At 44.4% G+C, this 20,462-nt stretch overlaps 1 annotated feature.

Moving 5' to 3' along the window:
* Positions 11,260-11,407: a silencer, noted in NCBI's record as "fragment chr2:75017750-75017897 (GRCh37/hg19 assembly coordinates)". NCBI's record gives its function as "represses an EF-1alpha promoter that drives an FKBP-Casp9 reporter gene in an ReSE screen in phorbol 12-myristate 13-acetate-treated (for megakaryocytic differentiation) K562 erythroleukemia cells {active_cell/tissue: K562(+PMA)}" and the evidence as "EXISTENCE:reporter gene assay evidence [ECO:0000049][PMID:32094911]".

Genomic DNA, 20,462 nt, shown 5'->3' on the forward strand with positions numbered 1-20,462 from the left:
AATGCAGATTTCTAGGCCCAACCCCAGAGATTCCTATTAATTATGTCTGGGTGGGGCCTGGCAATATGTATTAAGGGAATGTAAATTCATTTCATTATGAGACTCTGTTGACACGCTTGAGATAATTAGAGACACTTGAAAGCAGTCACACCAGAACTGTGAATCACTGAATTAGAAGTAAATGTCAAGTACACTTGAATAATCGAACAGAATATACTAAGACTATGTTATCTGATTAGTTCCAAGCCTTTATGGCAACGATGCCACTTATCTCATTATGAAATGTCTTTCAGTACAAAAAAAATGACCATCATTGAAAACTTCTCAAGCAGGCATGACCTCACAGTGTCCTTTAGCATCAGGAATAAATGGGCACTCATCCAGCCTCTCCCAGGTGACCGTCACCTACCGAATGCCACAGCTATGCTGCAAGAGGTGGGGCAAAGAACAGCACACCTAGCTTTCTTGAAACTTTCCTTCCTTCACTTCAGTAAATCCATTTCCTCTAGGTCTTTCTTGACTCTTCAACTTTTCATTTATTTATTCAGTAAATACTGATTGTATGAGTGCAATCAGACTCTGCTGGACACTGGGGATACAGTGGAGGGCGGGGTTTGTGGGCCAACCACAGGTTGATGTCATGAGTGCTGTGAAGGTGCCATGGAGTGCCTAGGAGGGGGTCCCAACCCAAATATCTTCTTGCCCTTCTCCTGTCTCTAAGTATTGTCACTTTCTAAAACTCATTGATATGATTTGGCTCTCTGTCCCCACCCAAATCTCATCTTGAATTATACCCCCATAATTCCCATGTGTTGTGGGAGGCACCCAGTGGGAGACAATTGAATCATGGGGGCGGTTTCTCCCATACTGTTCTCATGGTAGTGAATAAGTGTCATAAGATATGATGGTTTTATAAGGGGAAACACTTTTCACCTGGTTCTCATTCTCTCTCTTGCTGCTTCCATGAAAGAAGTGACTTTCGCCTTTTGCCATGATTATGAGGCATCCCTAGCCACGTGGAACTGTAAGTCCATTAAACCTCTTTCTTTTGTAGATTGCCCAGTCTCAGGTATGTCTTTATCAGCAGGCTGAAAATGGACTAATACACTCATTTTTGTGCAAACCTACCTAAAATGGCATTTATTGGCAGAATATTGGTGCAGAACAGGGATGGCCATGACCAGCAGACTGGCTGGATTGCAGGTGGCCCCAGCAGGGAGACTCTCACAGTTGGTGATGAGAGAAGTTCACACTGTAGGTCAGTCAGCATCAAGAAGGTTCAAGCAGCTGGGAAGTGATGAAAACCCTGGTAGGCAGGTGAGAGCTTGATAGGCAGGTGTTCCACTAATCCAGCAGTGGTCATGTGGATTCAGCCTCAGTGTTCTGGGCCAGGACTAGGATGGGGCTTTGTCCAGAGAGACTGGGAGACTGAGCAGGGGATACAGGCATGGACACAGACATGGGCATGATGGGGAGGGGTAGTGGTCAGTGAAGGATTCCTTGAAGAAGGGATGTCTGAGCTGAAACCTGAAGACTGACTCAGAAGTAACTAGACAAATAGAGGAGGAAATGATTCCAGGAAGAGGGAGCAAAATGTGAAGGCTCGAGAGAAGAAGCTACCAATGCCTGCTATCTGAACAGAATCAATGAGTTGCCTTTCTACTTAGATTGAATGAGAGCTCAGAAACCTTCACACCTGGAGAGTTTGGCCAGGCCCTGAAAGACATCAAGAAGTCTGCAAAGGGGACAGAATCCAGGAGTGACGCTCCTTCCTACCTAAAGAGAATATTAATAACCTTTGCATGGTTGTTTGGAAGGTCGTGAGGTGGCCAATTTTCAGGCTCTTCTCTCTCTTAGGGATAGCTAGGTGATAGGAAAGAAAACAAGAGGCTCTTATATATTTTACTTCCACAAAGTAAAAGTGGAATCCCCATAATGGATTATTTTGCTTTAAACAGTATTTTAAAAAGGTAAGAAAAGAAAGAAAAGCAGATATTAAAAGCATTTCCCAGCTCTTTACTATTTTTGATGCTCTTCTTTCCTTCCCGTGGATATGAATTTTCTTATGGTATCACTTCCCCTTGGCCTGAAGAAATTCCTTTAACATTTCTCTTAGGTGGATTTATTGATGAGAATAAATCCAGTTCTTATTTGCCTAAAATTTTTTTTACCTTCAATTTTAAAGGAATTTTTACTAGGTATAGAATTATAGTTTGACAGTTATTCTTTCAACACTTTACAGATGTGGTTCTGTTGTCTCTGGTCTCTTGTTTCTGGGGAGGAATGAGTTGTCATTGTTATCACTAGTTCTCTGTATGTAGTGTTTTTCCTCCTTTTGTACTTTTTAAGATTTTATCTTTCTCTTTTGTTTTCAGAAATTTAACTGATAATATGATTTTCTTTGTATTTATCCCACTTAAGGTTTGATGGACTTCTTAGGTCTGTAAGTTTATGTTTTAAATAAAATTTGGAAAAATTTTTGTCCATGCTTCTCTAAGCATTCTTTCTGTATAATTTTCTCTCTCATCTCTTTCTGGGATTCCAATTGCTTGTGTGTTAGACTTCATCTTGCAAATTGTTGAGACTCTATTCATTCCTTTAAATTTTTTTTCCATTGTGATTCAATTTGGATAATTTTTATTGAACTGTTGTTAACTTCACCAATTCTTGCTTCTATAATACATTGTTTAATCTTTATTTCATCCAATGAGTTTTTTAAAATTTCACATATTAGAATTTTCAGTTTTGTAAGCCTCATTTTGTTTTTTATTAGCATTTCATTTCTCTCCTGAGGCATCTCATTCTTTCGTCTATCACACCCATCCATAGGTGCTTTAATACATTTATCATAGTTATTTTAAAATCCTGTCTGCTGATTCCTATATATGGGTTGCCAAGATGTCTGTTTCTATTGACTATTTTCACTTGCTTATGGGTTTCCTGCTTCTTCACAAGTAAGTACTATTCATTATCGTGCATATTACATTGTAGAGATTCTGGGTTGACCTATCTTACTCTGATGAGGATAGAGTTTTGTTCCAGCTGGCAGTTACTGAAGGATCACCTTGTTTCTATGAATATTTCATTTAGACTCTGTATGGCAAGTCTATTTTACTCTGAATCCTAGGTTTAGGCCTTAGTCTTGAGACGTGGCTCTTACTGCTAAGTTATGGCCCTTCTGGAGTTTCACTGTAAAACTAAGGCCCTCTGAATTAGTGAGATTTCTTCAAACTCAGTCTCCCCAGCACTAGACAGCAATGGAAATATCTGCACAGGCTTTCAGCCTCCCATTTGTTGCTTTCTACTGGCTTTCTTGGACCTTTCCCTGAACATGTACAGTTCAGAGTCATCCAAGGATTTGAGGAGAATTTGCACACAGATGTTGGGCTTCCTCCTTTGAGACTCCTTCCGTTCCAGGATTTCTCTCTCAATATCCAGCTGTTTTGCCAGTCCCAAACTCTGACCTCTGACTCCTTAGCCCAGTAAGACTGATGATTTCTGCCTGAGCTCTATTTCCATACACTACACTACACAATCCTTAGGGGAAAAATGGGATAAATATGGATCTCATCTGCTGTGTTTTTCTTCTTTTACTTTTATTTTTTGGAGACAGAGTCTTGCTCTGTTGCCCAAGCTGGAGTGCAGTGGCATGATCTTGGCTCACTGCAAGCTCCGCCTCCCGTGTTCATGCCATTCTCCTGCCTCAGCCTCCCAAGTAGCTGGGACTACAGGCGCCTGCCACCACGCCCGGCTAATTTTTTGTATTTTTAGTAGAGACAGGGTTTCACCATGTTGGCCAGGATGGTCTTGATCTCCTGACCTCATGATCCACCTGCCTCGACCTCCCGAAGTGCTGGGATTACAGGCTTGAGCCACTGCGCCCGGCTTGTTTTTCTTCTTTTAAAAGTCAAATCCTCTTAAGTTTCTGTATGTTCTTCACTTCTCGCCAATGCTTTCAAATAATTTTTTTAAAATTTTGTCTGGAGTTTAAATTATCAACAGGAGAATTAATTCAATATAGAATTACTGGGACAGGGATAGCATGGAAGTTGATTTTATTCTGTGTATCTGACTTAAAAGGCTGTGATTCCAAAGCAAAAGTGGTAAGAATGCTCAAACAACTAATTTGGGTAGTAGGGGAGTTTAAGAGCCAAACCCGGACTTTCGTAGAGTCTAAAATTGGCATTCAGGACAGTGAGCCTGGAGAGCAGTTAGGAGGCTGAGGTCTTTGTGTGGGCATGTGTTGAAAGCTCATTTTAGAGGGGTGGTGATGGAAACAGGGATGGTACAGGAGGGTTTAGCTAGACAAGAAAGACCTGGGTCTCACTGAATAAGGAGGAAAAAGGAGAAGGAAGAGACAGAAATTACTCTTCAGTTTTGATCTTGAAAGACAGAAGGGCACGACTCTTGAGAAAGGCATGGAAATTGGGAAGGGATGTTACAGGCGAAGGTGATGAATAGTTCACAGGGAGGAGGCAGTGTTGAAGGTCAGTTAGGGTAGAGGTAGTGATCTCTTTTTGGGAGAGTGTAGAGAGAGCCATGTGGAGACCCGGGGACTGATCCTGAGCAAATACTGGCATTTAGAGGATGGAAGAAGAAAGTAGAACCTTTGAGAGAACCTTCTCTGGAACTAATCTAGAAGAGGCATCAGAGAGGTAGAAGGGGATCTGTAGGAGAATCTGTTAAGAATAAGGAGACCTGGAGAGTGCGGAAAGCTCAGAGGCCTAAAGTGGAGGAGTGGGGACAAGAAAAGACCATCAGAGGCAAGCAGGTTGCTGGCAGTGACAGTGGTGAGAACAGAAGTCATCATAGGTTAAATAGGAAGTGAGCTTAGTTACTTTAAAAAAATCATCTGCCTTTAATGCAGTCCTATCCCTCATCCACCAGCTCTCCCAATCTCAGGTCAGGCTCTTTGTTGCCTCTGGGAGACTGGCAGTTGCAGTTGTTGCCAAGTGGCATTTACAGGCTCAGCTCCCTGAGGATTAACCACCCAGAAGAGGATTCAGCTCTGAGGACAGAGAGATGAGCACACCAGTTGAGCAGCCTAACCTCCCCATGTTTGGAAGATAAATGCTTCCCATCCCAGAATTTTAATTTGAGCTTTCCAACCTTTCCTGCTTTCCAAACATTTGGCTAAGATGATGGATAACATTTAATTGTATACGTGTCTTCCTCAAAGCATTTTAAACAACCTTCTCCTAGGATCCAAATTGGCTGGAGATAAGGCAGGAGGGAGACTTTGTTCCTTAAGCACCATTTTCCCTTTTACAATCTCATCATCAGCTTTTTGGAGCTGGTCTCAGGTGACATTAACGTAGAGCTGGCTGTGGACACAGCAGGTTCTGGGCCCTGATTAGGGTGCCCCTCCCAAGCTAAAAGACTAAGGCATGAATTAACTGAGAATAAGGGTGAGAAAAGAGGAGGTGGAGATGCTTTCTGGGGTCCAGTTTGATGAATGGAGAGGTCATTAAGCAAGATGGAGAATATAGGAGGAATGATGTGTTTGGAGAAGATTATGACCTCAGTTCTGAACTGTTTGGCTGGAGGAGTCTGTGAGATCCAGATGCTACTCAGTAGTCAATGTTATCTATGAGTTAGGGTTCGGAAGAGAGCTCAAGGGTGGGGATAAAGAGTAACTGGGACATAGACTGTTGGGCATGGTGTCTCTGGATGCTTGGTTGAGTTGCTCCAGTCCTTCCCAAAGTCCTTCCCATGGATTAAAGAATGCGTCCTAAACAACCTGGATGGAGAACAACTCTAAGCAGAATTTTCAGAATTGAAAAAGCCCCCAGCAGAGGGTCAGGACAGGTGGGTTCTAATTTCAGCTCCATTTTAACTTACAGTGTGACCCAAAGCAAATAGCTTCTTGTCTCTGGGACTTGATTTCCTCATTTGTAAAATGAGGGGATCAGCTTTCGTCGTCTTCCTCCACTAGCGCCTAGGCATCCATAGCACTGTCTTAAAGGGGTCCCCAAATGAGGTAGGTTAGAAGGAATTAGACACCTTGACAGAATACAATCAGGCCTTAGAGCCCTAGAAAGAAACTTGGAGTGGTATCCTTGAGAGCAATGGAAGGAAATAGTACTTTTTACCAACTTGCTGAGTACTTAGAATGCACCAGGCACAGAGGAGGGCCCTCCGCTTCCGCTTCCATCATGTTTCCTCCTCACAATGCTGAGCTTCTGTGGCTTAGAGAGTAAAGGAGTTAGGATTCAAATCCAGGGCCTCCTAATTCCACACCAGTGCTGGTCAACACCAGACATGAAAGAAAGAAAAAGCTGAGAAGAGGGATGGGAGCCAGAGGATCATTTGGCATAAAACCTGTCTTTTCCTTTGATCCTGTAAACGTTTTTTGTTTTTGTTTTGTTTTGTTTTTTTTTGAGACGGAGTCTCGCTCTGTCGCCCAGGCTGGAGTGCAGTGGCGCGATCTCAGCTCACTGCAAGCTCCGCCTCCCGGATTCACGCCATTCTCTTGCCTCAACCTCTCAAGTAGCTGGGACTACCGGCGCCCGCCACCACGCCCGGCTAATTTCTTTTTGTATTTTTAGTAGAGATGGGGGTTTCACCATGTTAGCCAGGATGGTCTTGATCTCCTGACCTGGTGATCCGCCCGCCTCGGCCTCCCAAAGTGCTGGGATTACAGGCGTGAGCCACCGTGCCCGGCCAATCCTGTAAACATTTTTTGATGCTGTATAAGTAATCAGTAATAGAATTTAAAGAATTATAATTTCAATTTTATTTTAGATTCAGGGGCTACATGAGTAGGTTTGTTACATGGGTATATTGCATGATGCTGAGGTTTGGGGTTATGATTGATCCCGTTACCCATGTGGTGAGCATAGTAGTCAAAAGTTAGTTTTTCTTTTTTTCTTTTTTCTTTTTTTTTGAGATGGAGTCTTGCTCTGTCGCCCAGGCTGGAGTGCAGTGGCACGATTTCTGCTCACTGCAACCTCCGCCTCACAGGTTCACATCATTCTCCTGCCTCAGCCTCCCGAGTAGCTGGGACTACAGGCACCCGCCACCACGCCCGGCTAATTTTTGGTATTTTTAGTAGAGTCAGGGTTTCACCGTGTTAGCCAGGATGGTCTTGATCTCCTGACCTCGTGATCCGCCCGCCTCGGCCTCCCAAAGTGCTGGGATTACAGGCGTGAGCCACAGCGCCCGGCCACAAAAGTTAGTTTTTCAACCTTTTCCTCCCCGACTCTTTCCCCCTCTAGTAGTCCCCAGTGTCTACCGTTGTCATTATGTCCATGTGTACCCAATATTTAGTTCCTCGTTATAAGTGAGAACATATGGTATTTTGTTTTCGTTCCTGCATTAATTCACTTAGGATAATGGCCTCCAGGTGCATCTATGTTGCTGGAAGAACATATTTTTGTTCTTTTTTTATGACTGTGTAGTATTCTATGGTGTATATGTACCACGTTATCTTTATCCAGTCCACCACCGATGGACACTTAGGTTGATCCCATGTCTTTACTATTGTGAATAGAGCTGCATGTGTCTTTTGGTAGAGTGATTTATTTTCCTTTGGATATATAGCCAGTAATGAGATTTCTGAGTTGAATGGTAGTTCTAAGTTTTTTGAGAAATCTACAAACTGCTTTCCACCATGGCTGAGCTAATTTACATTCCTACCAACAGTGTGTAAGTGGTCCCTTTCTCCATAGCCTTGTCGGCATCTGTTTTTTGACTTTTAATAATAGTCTTCTGCCTGGTGTGAGATGGTATCTCAATTTGGTTTTGATTTGCATTTCTCTAATGATTAGTGATATTGAGCATTTTTTTTCATATGTTTGTTGGCCACTTACATGTCTTCTTTTGAAAAGTATCTGTTCATGTCTTTTGCTCACTTTTTAAATGGGGTTCTTTTTTGCTTGTTGAATTGTCTAAGTTCCTTATAGATTCTGGATATTAGACCATTGTTGGATGCATAGTTTTGCGGATATTTTCTCCCATTCTGTAGGTTGTCTGTTTACTTTGTTGATAGTTTCTTTTGCTGTGCAGAAGCTCTTTCATTTAATTAGGTCCCACCTTTCAATTTTTGTTTTTGTTGCAATTGCTTTTGAGGACTTAGTCATAAATTCTTTCCTAAGGCTGAAGTCCATAATGGTGTCTCCTAGGTTTTTTTCTAGGATTCTTATATTTAAATCTTTACATTTAAATCTTTAATTTTTTACATTTAAATCTTTAATCCATCTTGTGTTAATTTTTGTGTACGGCAAAAGGGGTCTAGTTTTATTCTTCTGCACGACTAGCCAGTTATCCCAGCACCATTTATTGAATGGGGGAGTGCTTTCTCCATTGCTTATTTTTGTTAACTTTGTTGAAGATCAGGTGGCTGTAGGTGTGTGGCTTTATTTTTGGGTTCTGTATTTTGTTCCATTGGTTTATGTGTCCTCTTTTCATACCAGTACCATGTTGTTTTGGTTACTATAGCCTTATAGTATAGTTTGAAGTGGAGTAATTAGATGCCTCTGACTTTGTTCTTTTTGCTTAGGATTGCTTTGGCTATTTGGGCTCCTTTTTAGTTCCACATGAATTTTAGAATAGTTTTTTTCTAATTCTGTGAAAAATGACGTTGCTAGTTTGATAGGAATATCATTGAATCTGTAGATTGCTTTGGGCACTATGGGCATTTTAACAATATTTAGTCTTCTAATCCATGAGCATGGAATGTTTTTCCATTTGTATGATCTCTGATTTCTTTCAGCAGTGTTTTGTAATACTCTTTGTAGAACTACAGATTCTTTCAATTCCTTGGTTAAATGTATTCCTAGGTATTTCTTTTTGTTGATTTGGCTCTCCAGCTTGAATGTTAATTGGTGTATAGAAATGCTACTGAGTTTTGTACGTTGATTTTGTATCCTGAAACATTACTGAAGTCATTTATCAGTTCTAGGAGCCTTTTGGCTGAGTCTTCAGGGTTTTCTAGATATAGAATCATATCATCTATGAAGACAGATAGTTTGACTTCTTTTCCTTTTACTTTTTTCTCTTGCCTAATTGCTCTAGATAAAACTTCCAGTAGTATGATGAATACAAGTGGTGACAGTGGGCATCTTTGTCTTGTTCTAATTCTCAAGAGAAATGCTTCCAGCTTTTGCCCATTCAGTATGATGTTAGATATGGGTTTGTCATAGATGGCTCTTACTATGTTGAGACATGTTCCTTCAGTGCCTAATTTGCTGAGGGTTTTTGTCATGAAGTGTTGTTGGATTTTATAAAAAAAATTCTGTGTCTGTTGAGATGGTCATATAGTTTTTGTTTTTAATTCTGTTTATGCGGTGAATCACATGGAATGATTTGCATATGTTGAACTAACCTTGCATTCCAGGAATGAAGCCTATTTGATTGTGGTGAATTAACTATATGATTGCTGCTGGATTCAGTTGGCTAGTATTTTGTTGAGGATTTGTGTCTATGTTCCTCAGGAATATTGGCCTGTAGTTTTCTTTTTTTGTTGTGTATCGGCCAGATTTTTGTATCAGGGTAATGCTGGCTTCCTAGAATCAATGAGTAATTCCTGCTCATCAATTTTTTGAAATAATTTTAGTATAATTAGTACCAGCTCTTCTTTGTACCTCTGGTAGAATTTGGCTGTGAATTCATCTGGTCTGGGGATTTTTTTGTGTGGGTAGGTGTTTTCATTACTGATTCAGTTTTGGAACTTGATATTGGTTTGTTAAGAATTTCAATTAGGATGGGAGAGAGAAGGTAGCTCAAAGTGATGATTATTCTACCTGCCTCAAACACAGTCTGTACCTTCCTGTTGGCCCAAGACTTGAGAGAAATTTTCACAGCAATGGAGCCTTGCATAATTAGATATTCTTCCTCTGCAGATTGGGATATAGAAAGGAGGACATTTTCATTTAATGAGAGGATCACACATGGCTAAGAACAGAAGTTAGGAGTTAGGATAGAGATGTGTTCTTCACCATTAATCCTACCTATAGTAAAGTGTGTTGCACTACTTGTCTCAATCTGGGTTCAATCAGGGAAGCTGAACCACTGTGAGTATTGTGGATTAAGGAATTTATTAGAGGAACTAGACCTTATGCAATTGTGAGAGAATCTGGGGAAACACAGGTTTGTGAAGGGAAGTTGAAGAATCAGAGGAAGAGTCATTGACTGGCCCTTGTGCTGGCAAATGAACTGAAACTTGCAGGGAAATCTGGAAGCCAGGCACGTTCTACCGTTGGTGTAGAAGTCCATAGAAGGTGGTGGACTCAGAGTAGCCTCTGCAGATTTGAAGTAAACTCTCTGATGATGGGGCCTGGGCTTACTACTGATCAGCAAGGTTGACAATCAGGAAAGAGCTAGAAGGAGAGCTAGTCACAGAGTGGGGTGCCTGCCTGCACCTCTGTGGTGTCTCTCACCTCCTCTGACATATGACAAATGCAGAGCTTGATGGCTGTGGCTTCTGTCCCCCACCTCTCACTCAGCTGTACCTCTGACCCAGGACCATACAGGTGAGGGGTTCTGTGAGACAGAGTTCTCAACATAGCCAAGTTGATGCTAGAACCATTGAGCACATTATTATAGTGATGTAATATAATTGATGATTGCTTTGGTTTGTTTTTATATTTACTAATTCATATTTTGCCTCATTTCAAAATAGGATTTTTGAAGCAGCTTAGAGAAACATTAGAAATTGAGTGAAATTGTAAAAGGAAGTGATGGAGGCAGAGAAAAATGTGTAGGGCAATAAAATAATTCAAACTTAGTGGCAGTGTTCAAGAAATCCATCTAAGAGCCTGTTTCATTGAAGATGGGGCTATGGATTGGGCTCAGAGCATCCTCAGAGCCAAAGCAAATATTTTGTGACAAAGATCATCACAAGGGGAGTGGCAAAGATTTTCCTGATCCTGTGAACTAAGGGAAATATCTCCTAGGGGTCCTCAAAAATATCCCTTTGATAAGGTGTCTTGGAACCATTCAGTGAAATCTGTGCTCTGAGGAATTAAAACAAGGAAGACCTGGCATGTGCTCTAGGCTTTCCTGGCCTCATCCAGACCCTATCCTGCCAGAAAGCGGCCAGGAGACAATTTCTAAACATTACAGCTATATGATTGGATGGTTTGTATATTCTTCAAGCTAGGAGTTGATGAGCTTTTTCTTCTTCTTCTTTTTTTTTTTTTTGGAGATGGAGTCTCGCGCTGTAGCTCAGGCTGGAGTGCAATGGCGTGATTTTGGCTCACTGCAACCTCTGCCTCCCAGATTCAAGCGATTCTCCTGCCCGAGTAGCTGAGATTACAGGTGTCCACCACCATGCCTGGCTACTTTTTGTATTTTTAGTAGAGACAGGGTTTCATCATGTTGGCCAGGCTGGTCATGAACTCCTGACCTCAGGAAATCCACCCGCCTTGGCATCCCAAAGTGCTGGGATTACAGGCGTGAGCCACCACGTCCAGCCGATGAGCTTCTTCTGTAAAGGGCGAGATAGTAAATATTTTAGGCTTTGCAGGTCGCTAGGTCTCTGTTACAGCTACTCAGCACTGTCATTATAGCATAAATGCAGCCATAGAGAGTCTGTAAACAAATGAGTGTGGCTGGGTTCCAATAAAACTTTATGAAGGAACACTAAAACAATTCTAATTTCCATGTGTCACAAAATATTAATTCTTCTTTACAGTTATTTCCGACCATTTAAAATTGTAAAAACCATTCTTAGCTGTAGACTGTAGCCATACAAAAACAGGCAGCAGGCTGGATTTGGCCCATATGCCATGGTTTGTGCACCCCTGTTTCAGGTGGTCCTCCATAACTGATTAACCCATTTCCCGTTTAGAAAAAAAAGTGCCGCTCGCTGCCAGCGCTCATTTAATTTGATGTAAATATGCTTTTTGATGCTGAAGCAAAGCTGACCGATTTTCAGTGTGAAAATAAAATATAAAAACTGTTCTTGGAGTTATTTCTAAGCAGAACTTGTCTCTAATCCTAGTGTAACAGAAATGTATATGATGTTACACTAGGATTAGAGACAAGAGCATTCTCGGGGCAAACGGAAATGAGTTAAGAAAGTGGGAGGCGGCTGGGTGCGGTGGCTCACGCCTGTAATCCCAGCACTTTGGGAGGCCGAGGTGGGCAGATCACGAGGTCAGGAGATTGAGACCAGCCTGGCCAACATGGTGAAACCCCATCTCTACTAAAAATACAAAATTAGCCTGGCATGGGTCCCAGCTACTCGGGAGGCTGAGGCAGGAGAATTGCTTGAACCCGGGAGGCGGAGGTTGCAGTGAGCTGAGATCGCGCCACTGCACTCCAGCCTGGGTGACAGAGCGAGACTCTGTGTCAAGAAAAAGGCCGGGCACAGTGGCTCACGCCTGTAATCCCAGCACTTTGGGAGGCCGAGGCGGGTGGATCACGAGGTCAGGAGATGGAGACCATCCTGGCTAACACGGTGAAACCCCGTCTCTACTAAAAATATAAAAAATTAGCCGGACGTGGTGGCGGGCGCCTGTAGTCCCAGCTACTCGGGAGGCTGAGGCAGGAGAATGGCGTGAACCCGGAAGGCGCAGCTTGCAGTGAGCCGAGATCGTGCCACTGCACTCCAGCCTGGGCGACAGAGCGAGACTCTATCTCAAAAAAAAAAAAAAAAAAAAAGAAAAAGAATCTTCTTAAGGGTGGGGAAAATTACAAACTACGCTGATCAGTTAGAGTGGGGCAGAAGCAAATCACAATGGTGGAATGTCATCAGTTAAGGCTAGTTTCACGTCTTTTGTGGATCTTCAGTTGCTTCAGGCCATCTGGATGTATACGTGCAGGTCACAGGGGATATGATGGCTTAGCTTGGGCTCAGACGCCTGGCAGTTACCTGGAGATCACTGAAGATCCCTCCACTGGTTTTGATGGACCGACAGGTTTGGGGCCGTGACCTGTGCTTTGCTGAAACCCTGCCTGGCTCCAGAGTCAGACAGATGCCAAGTGAGGTCAAAAGCAGGTGCTGTATAAACCAGGACTTCCTCTCCATGGATGGCTAGGCTGGCATTGCAATAGCAATGTGGGCTGACACCCCGACTTTCTGAGAGTGAGGGGGCAGAGGTAGAAGCCCCAGGAAGGCAGGGCCTAGTAGGCAAAGTGAATAATGAGGTTTCCACTTCAGCAGTACACTCCCCTAAGCAAGAGGGATGGAGGCCGAGCTCAAGGCCTGGCTCAGAGCCAGATGCTTGGGAGAGGACTAGAGTCTCATGGGGGTGGTGATGGTGGTGTCAGCACTTAAAGTACTATTTTTCTATTGTCAAAATTGCCTTCAGAGGCCCTCAATTTTCCCACAAAGTCTAATGGTTGGCCGGGAGCGGTGGCTCACGCCTGTAATCCCTGCACTTTGGGAGGCCGAGGCAGGCGGATCACGAGGTCAGGAGATTGAGACCATCCTGGCTAACACGGTGAAACCCCGTCTCTACTAAAAATACCAAAAATTAGCCAGGCATGGTGGTGGGCACCTGTAGTCCCAGCTACTCGGGAGGCTGAGACAGGAGAATGGCGTGAACCCAGGAGGAGGAGCTTGCAGTGAGCCAAGATCGTGCCACTGTACTCCAGCCTGGGCAACAGAGCGAGACTCCATCTCAAAAAAAAAAAAAAAAAAAAAAAATCTAATGTTTAGGATAACCATGTCCCACCCTATTTAGAAATTCTCTTTTGCTCACTAACATTTAAGAGCTACTAATATGGTGGCACAACACTGCAAATGTAATGTATGCCACTAAATTTTACTCTTAAAATGAGTAAAATTTTAAATTACTCATTTTGTAATTTTTGTTATGTGTATTTTAGTACAAGAAAAATGATAAATTGAGGTAAAATATAAAAATGCATATTTATGTTACATTTATTTTACCACCACCACCAAAAAAAAAAAAAAATCACTGAACTGGACAACAGGACGTGAACTCTGTGTGGATGTGGGCATTTAAAGAATTACCCTTTTACTGTCTAACAGGAGGGTGGGTGGGCAATTCCAAAGAGCTTTTGCTTGTCTGCAGGAGTTATTCTATTCTGACTTTTTTTTTTTTTTTTTGACGGAGTCTGCAACCGCTGCCTCCCAGTTTAAGTGATTCTCATGATTCAGCCTCCTGAGTAGCTTGGACTACAGATATGCACCACCATGCCTGGCTAATTTTTGTATTTTTAGTAGAGACGGGGTTTCACCATGTTGGCCAGGCTGGTCTTGAACTCCTGACCTCAAGTGATCTGTCCGCCTCAGCCTCCCAAAGTGCTGGGATTACAGGCGTGAGCCACCACACCCAGCCCTCATTCTGGCTTTTTTCATTTTGAACTTTTTACTATGGAAATTAAAAACAAAACAAAACAAAACAAACAAACAAACAAACAAACAACACTCAAATAGTGAAGAGAATCCAGCAATGCACCGTCTTTGAGTCTGGGACCCAGCTTCAACAACCATTAAGGTTTGTTGTTCTTTTTATTTATTTATTTATTTATTTATTTATTTTTATTTTTATTTATTTATTTATTTTTTATTATTATACTTTAAGTTTTAGGGTACATGTGCACATTGTGCAGGTTAGTTACATACGTATACATGCACCATGCTGGTGTGCTGCACCCACTAACTCGTCATCTAGCATTAGGTATATCTCCCAATGCTATCCCTTCCCCTTCCCCCTACTCCACAACAGTCCCCAGAGTGTGATGTTCCCCCTCCTGTGTCCATGTGATCTCATTGTTCAATTCCCACCTATGAGTGAGAATATGAGGTGTTTGGTTTTTTGTTCTTGCGATAGTTTACTGAGAATGATGATTTCCAATTTCATCCATGTCCCTACAAAGGACATGAACTCATCATTTTTTATGGCTGCATAGTATTCCATGGTGTATATGTGCCACATTTTCTTAATCCAGTCTATCATTGTTGGACATTTGGGTTGGTTCCAAGTCTTTGCTATTGTGAATAATGCCGCAATAAACATACGTGTGCATGTGTCTTTATAGCAGCATGATTTATAGTCCTTTGGGTATATACCGAGTAATGGGATGGCTGGGTCAAATGGTATTTCTAGTTCTAGATCCCTGAGGAATCGCCACACTGACTTCCACAATGGTTGAACTAGTTTACAGTCCCACCAACAGTGTAAAAGTGTTCCTATTTCTCCACATCCTCTCCAGCACCTGTTGTTTCCTGACTTTTTAATGATTGCCATTCTAACTGGTGTGAGATGGTATCTCATTGTGGTTTTGATTTGCATTTCTCTGATGGCCAGTGATGGTGAGCATTTTTTCATGTGTTTTTTGGCTGCATAAATGTCTTCTTTTTTTTTTTTTTTGCTTTAAATGTTGTTTTATTTATTTTGTTTGTCACTTCAATTAAGTGATCAGAAGGTACAGACAATATATAAACATTACAAATGACCCAAAAAAGGCTGAGTGGTTCCAGCCAACATAACAGGTTTTCATAACAGAATGAAGACATCTTATTTCTTGATTTCATCTGACCTTATAGCTTAGCTGCATGAGCTAAAGCTGTGTTGACCAACACAGTAGCCAGGAGCCACACTGAAACACACTACTGGGCACTTACACCTTGGCTAGTTCTTTTTTTTTTTTTTTTTTGCCCTTCTATCTTTTTTATTAGTTTAACATTAAAACAATTGAGCCAGTGACATTTTTATCCTCTGATATGTCTAGCCTAGTAATTATTCAATAAATGTGTTTTTATTTATTTATTTATTTATTTTTTGTTTCTTTTGTTTATTTATTTATTTATTTATTTATTTATTTATTTATTTTTTTTATTGTTCATTCTTGGGTGTTTCTCACAGAGGGGGATTTGGCAGGGTCATAGGACAATAGTGGAGGGAAGGTCAGCAGATAAACAAGTGAACAAAGGTCTCTGGTTTTCCTAGGCAGAGGACCCTGCGGCCTTCCGCAGTGTTTGTGTCCCTGGGTACTTGAGATTAGGGAGTGGTGATGACTCTTAACGAGCATGCTGCCTTCAAGCATCTGTTTAACAAAGCACATCTTGCACCGCCCTTAATCCATTTAACCCTGAGTGGACACAGCACATGTTTCAGAGAGCACAGGGTTGGGGGTAAGGTCACAGATCAACAGGATAAGAATTTTTCTTAGTACAGAGCAAAATGAAAAGTCTCCCATGTCTACCTCTTTCTACACAGACACGGCAACCATCCGATTTCTCAATCTTTTCCCCACCTTTCCCCCCTTTCTATTCCACAAAACCGCCATTGTCATCATGGCCCGTTCTCAATGAGCTGTTGGGTACACCTCCCAGACAGGGTGGTGGCCGGGCAGAGGGGCTCCTCACTTCCCAGTAGGGGCGGCTGGGCAGAGGCGCCCCTCACCTCCCAGACGGGGCGGCTGGCTGGGCGGGGGGCTGACCCCCCACCTCCCTCCCGGATGGGGCGGCTGGCCGGGTGGGGGGCTGACCCCCCCACCTCCCTCCTGGACGGGGCGGCTGGCCGGGCAGAGGGGCTCCTCACTTCCCAGTAGGGGCGGCCGGGCAGAGGCGCCCCTCACCTCCCGGACGGGGCGGCTGGCCGGGCGTGGGGGCTGACGCCCCCCCACCTCCCTCCCGAACGGGACGGCTGGCTGGGCGGGGGGCTGACCCCCCACCTCCCTCCCGGATGGGGCGGCTGGCTGGGTGGGGGGCTGACCCCCCCACCTCCTTCCCGGATGAGGCGGCTGGCTGGGCAGAGGGGCTCCTCACTTCCCAGTAGGGGCGGCTGGGCAGAGGCGCCCCTCACCTCCTGGATGGGGCGGCTGGCCGGGCGGGGGGGCTGACCCCCCCCACCTCCCTCCCGGTCGGGGCGGCTGGCCTGGCGGGGGCTGACCCCCACCTCCCTCCCGGACGGGGTGGCTGCTGGGCAGAGGGGCTCCTCACTTCTCAGACGGGGTGGCTGCCGGGCGGAGGGGCTCCTCACTTCTCAGACGGGGCGGTTGTCAGGCGGAGGGTCTCCTCTCTTCTCAGACGGGGCGGCCGGGCAGAGACGCTCCTCACCTCCCAGACGGGGTCACGGCCGGGTAGAGGCGCTCCTCACATCCCAGACGGGGTGGCGGGGCAGAGGCGCTCCCCACATCTCAGACGATGGGCGGCCGGGCAGAGAAGCTCCTCACTTCCTAGATGGGATGGCGGCCGGGAAGAGGCGCTCCTCACTTCCTAGATGGGATGGCGGCCGGGCAGAGACGCTCCTCACTTTCCAGACTGGGCAGCCAGGCAGAGGGGCTCCTCACGTCCCAGACGACGGACGGCCAGGCAGAGACGCTCCTCACTTCCCAGACGGGGTGGCGGCTGGGCAGAGGCTGCAATCTCGGCACTTTGGGAGGCCAAGGCAGGCGGCTGGGAGGTGGAGGTTGTAGCGAGCCGAGATCACGCCACTGCACTCCAGCCTGGGCACCATTGAGCACTGAGTGAACCAGACTCCGTCTGCAATCCTGGCACCTCGGAAGGCCAAGGCTGGCGGATCACTCGCGGTTAGGAGCTGGAGACCAGCCCGGCCAACACAGCGAAACCCCGTCTCCACCAAAAAAAATACGAAAACCAGTCAGGTGTGGTGGCGCGCGCCTGCAATCACAGGCACTCGGCAGGCTGAGGCAGGAGAATCAGGCAGGGAGGTTGCAGTGAGCCGAGATGGCAGCAGTACAGTCCAGCTTCGGCTCAGCATCAGAGGGAGACCGTGGAAAGAGAGGGAGAGGGAGACAGTGGAGAGGGAGAGGGAGAGGGAGAGGGAGAGGGAAAGGGAAAGATAAATGTCTTCTTTTGAGAAGTGTCTGTTCATGTCCTTCGCCCACTTTTTGATGGGGTTATTTGTTTTTTTCTTGTAAATTTGTTTGAGTTCATTGTAGATTCTGGATATTAGCCCTTTGTCAGATGAGTAGGTTGCGAAAATTTTCTCCCATTTTGTAGGTTGCCTGTTCACTCTGATGGTAGTTTCTTTTGCTGTGCAGAAGCTCTTTAGTTTAATTAGATCCCATTTGTCAATTTTGTCTTTTGTTGCCATTGCTTTTGGCGTTTTAGACATGAAGTCCTTGCCCATGCCTATGTCCTGAATGGTAATGCCTAGGTTTTCTTCTAGGGTTTTTATGGTTTTAGGTCTAACGTTTAAGTCTTTAATCCATCTTGAATTGATTTTTGTATAAGGTGTAAGGAAGGGATCCAGTTTCAGCTTTCTACATATGGCTAGCCAGTTTTCCCAGCACCATTTATTAAATAGGGAATCCTTTCCCCATTGCTTGTTTTTCTCAGGTTTGTCAAAGATCAGATAGTTGTAGATATGCAGCGTTATTTCTGAGGGCTCTGTTCTGTTCCATGCATCTATATCTCTGTTTTGGTACCAGTACCATGCTGTTTTGGTTACTGTAGCCTTGTAGTATAGTTTGAAGTCAGGTAGTGTGATGCCTCCAGCTCTGTTGTTCTTTTTTTTTGGAGATGGAGTTTCACTCTTTGCCCAGGCTGGAGTGCAGTGGCATAATCTTGGCTCACTGCAGCCTCTGCCTCCTGGGTTCAAGCGATTCTTCTGCCTCTGCCTCCCTAGTACCTGGGACTACAGACATGTGCCACCACACCTGGCTAATTTTTTGTGTTTTTTTGTTTGTTTGTTTTTGTTTTTTGAGACGAAGTTTGGCTCTTGTTGCCCAGGCTGGAGTGCAATGGCGCGATCTTGGCTCACCGAAACCTCTGCCTCCCAGGTTCAAGCAATTCTCCTGCCTCAGCCTCCGGAGTAGCTGGGATTACAGGCATGCACCACCACTCCCGGCTAATTTTGTATTTTTAGTAGAGATGGGGTTTCTCCATGTTGAGGCTGGTCTCAAACTCCTGACCTCAGGTGAGCCTCCTGCCTTGGCCTCCCAAAGTGCTGGGATTACAGGCGTGAGCCACTGCACCCTGCATTTTTTTGTGTGTTTTTAATAGAGACAGGTTTCACCTGTTGACCAGGCTGGTCCTGAACTCCTGACCTTAAGTGATCCACCTGCCTCGGCCTCCCAAAGTGCTAGGATTACAGGCATGAGCCACTGCACCCGGCATGTTGTTATTGTTAATATACCCCTCCAGTGTTTTTCAAAATTCTCTCAGTCCATCCAGAGCATGTCAGGAAAAGCTCAAGCAGGGGTCTAAGGTATGAGCGGGTGAAACCTATTCTGCAGGGAGGTAGATGAAAAATGATCTGAGCTGGGAATAGAGTGAATGCCAGTAGTCACTGGGCAATGGGATGTAGAATCCCAGCTCTCTACATCACCCAGTTCCTGAATCTAGACACTTTCAACTTCAACTGTGGTCTTGGGATTGGCAGCATCCATACAACCTGGGAGGTTGCCAGCCTTGCAGAACCTCAACCCCTGCCCAGACCTGCTGAATCGAAAACTCTGCGGGTGGGGCTCAGAAACCTGTTTTCACACACCCTTCAGAGATTCTGTTGCCTGCTCAAATTAGAGAGCATCTTCAACAGCAAGTGAGGTGTATGGGAATGTAGGATAATATCCCCAACTACATGATTCATAACAAGTTGCTGATAGATGAATAAAGAAAAGACAGTTGGAATAAATGAGCAGTTGAAGTAAAATTACTGTATTATTGGGGGAATAAATGAGCAGTTGGAGTAAAATTATTGTATTATTGGGGGAATAAATGAGCAGTTGGAGTAAAATTACTGTATTATTGGGGGAATAAATGGGCAGTTGAAGTAAAATTACTATATTATTTATTCATTTATTTAACACACATTTGTTGGGCCAGGTGTTATTCTGGCACTGTGGATATAACTAAACAAAACGGACAAAAACTCTTGGCCTTGTTCTCGTGGGGAAACTTAATAATTGAGATAAAAGAATAAAAGATGTGGGCCAGGCACAGTGGCTAATGCTTGTAATCCCAGCACTTTGGGAGGCCGAGGTGGGCGGATCACGAGGTCAAGAGATCAAGACCATCCTGGCCAACATGGTGAAACCCCATCTCTACTGAAAATACAAAAATAATAATTAAAAAAATACAAAAATTTGCTGGGCTTGGTGGTGCACGCTTGTAGTCCCAGCTACTTGGGAGGCTGAGGCAGAAGAATCACTTGAACCCGGGAGGCGGAGGTTGCAGTGAGCCAAGATGACGTCACTGCACTCCAGCCTAGTGACAGAGTGAGACTCCATCTCAAAAAACAAATAAATAAATAAAATAAAAATAAAAGATGTGATATTTAAAAGGTGAAAAGTGATAGAGACAAACAAAGCAGGGAGGGGAAATGAGCAGCCTGTGGGTGGGGACAGAGAAAGGGTTTGCTGTGTACCAAAAAGTGGCTAAAGAAGGCCTGTGGAGGCTGGGCGAGGTGGCTCATGCCTGTAATCCCAGCACTTTGGGAGGCCGAGGCAGGCAGATCACGAGGTCAGGAGATTGAGACCATCCTGGCTATCACGGTGATACCCTGTCTCCACTAAAAATACAAAAAATTAGCAGGGCATGGTGGCGGGCGCCTGTTGTCCCAGCTACTCGGGAGGCT

This window comes from Homo sapiens, chromosome 2 (assembly GCF_000001405.40).
Source record: "Homo sapiens chromosome 2, GRCh38.p14 Primary Assembly".
Lineage (NCBI taxonomy): Eukaryota > Metazoa > Chordata > Mammalia > Primates > Hominidae > Homo > Homo sapiens.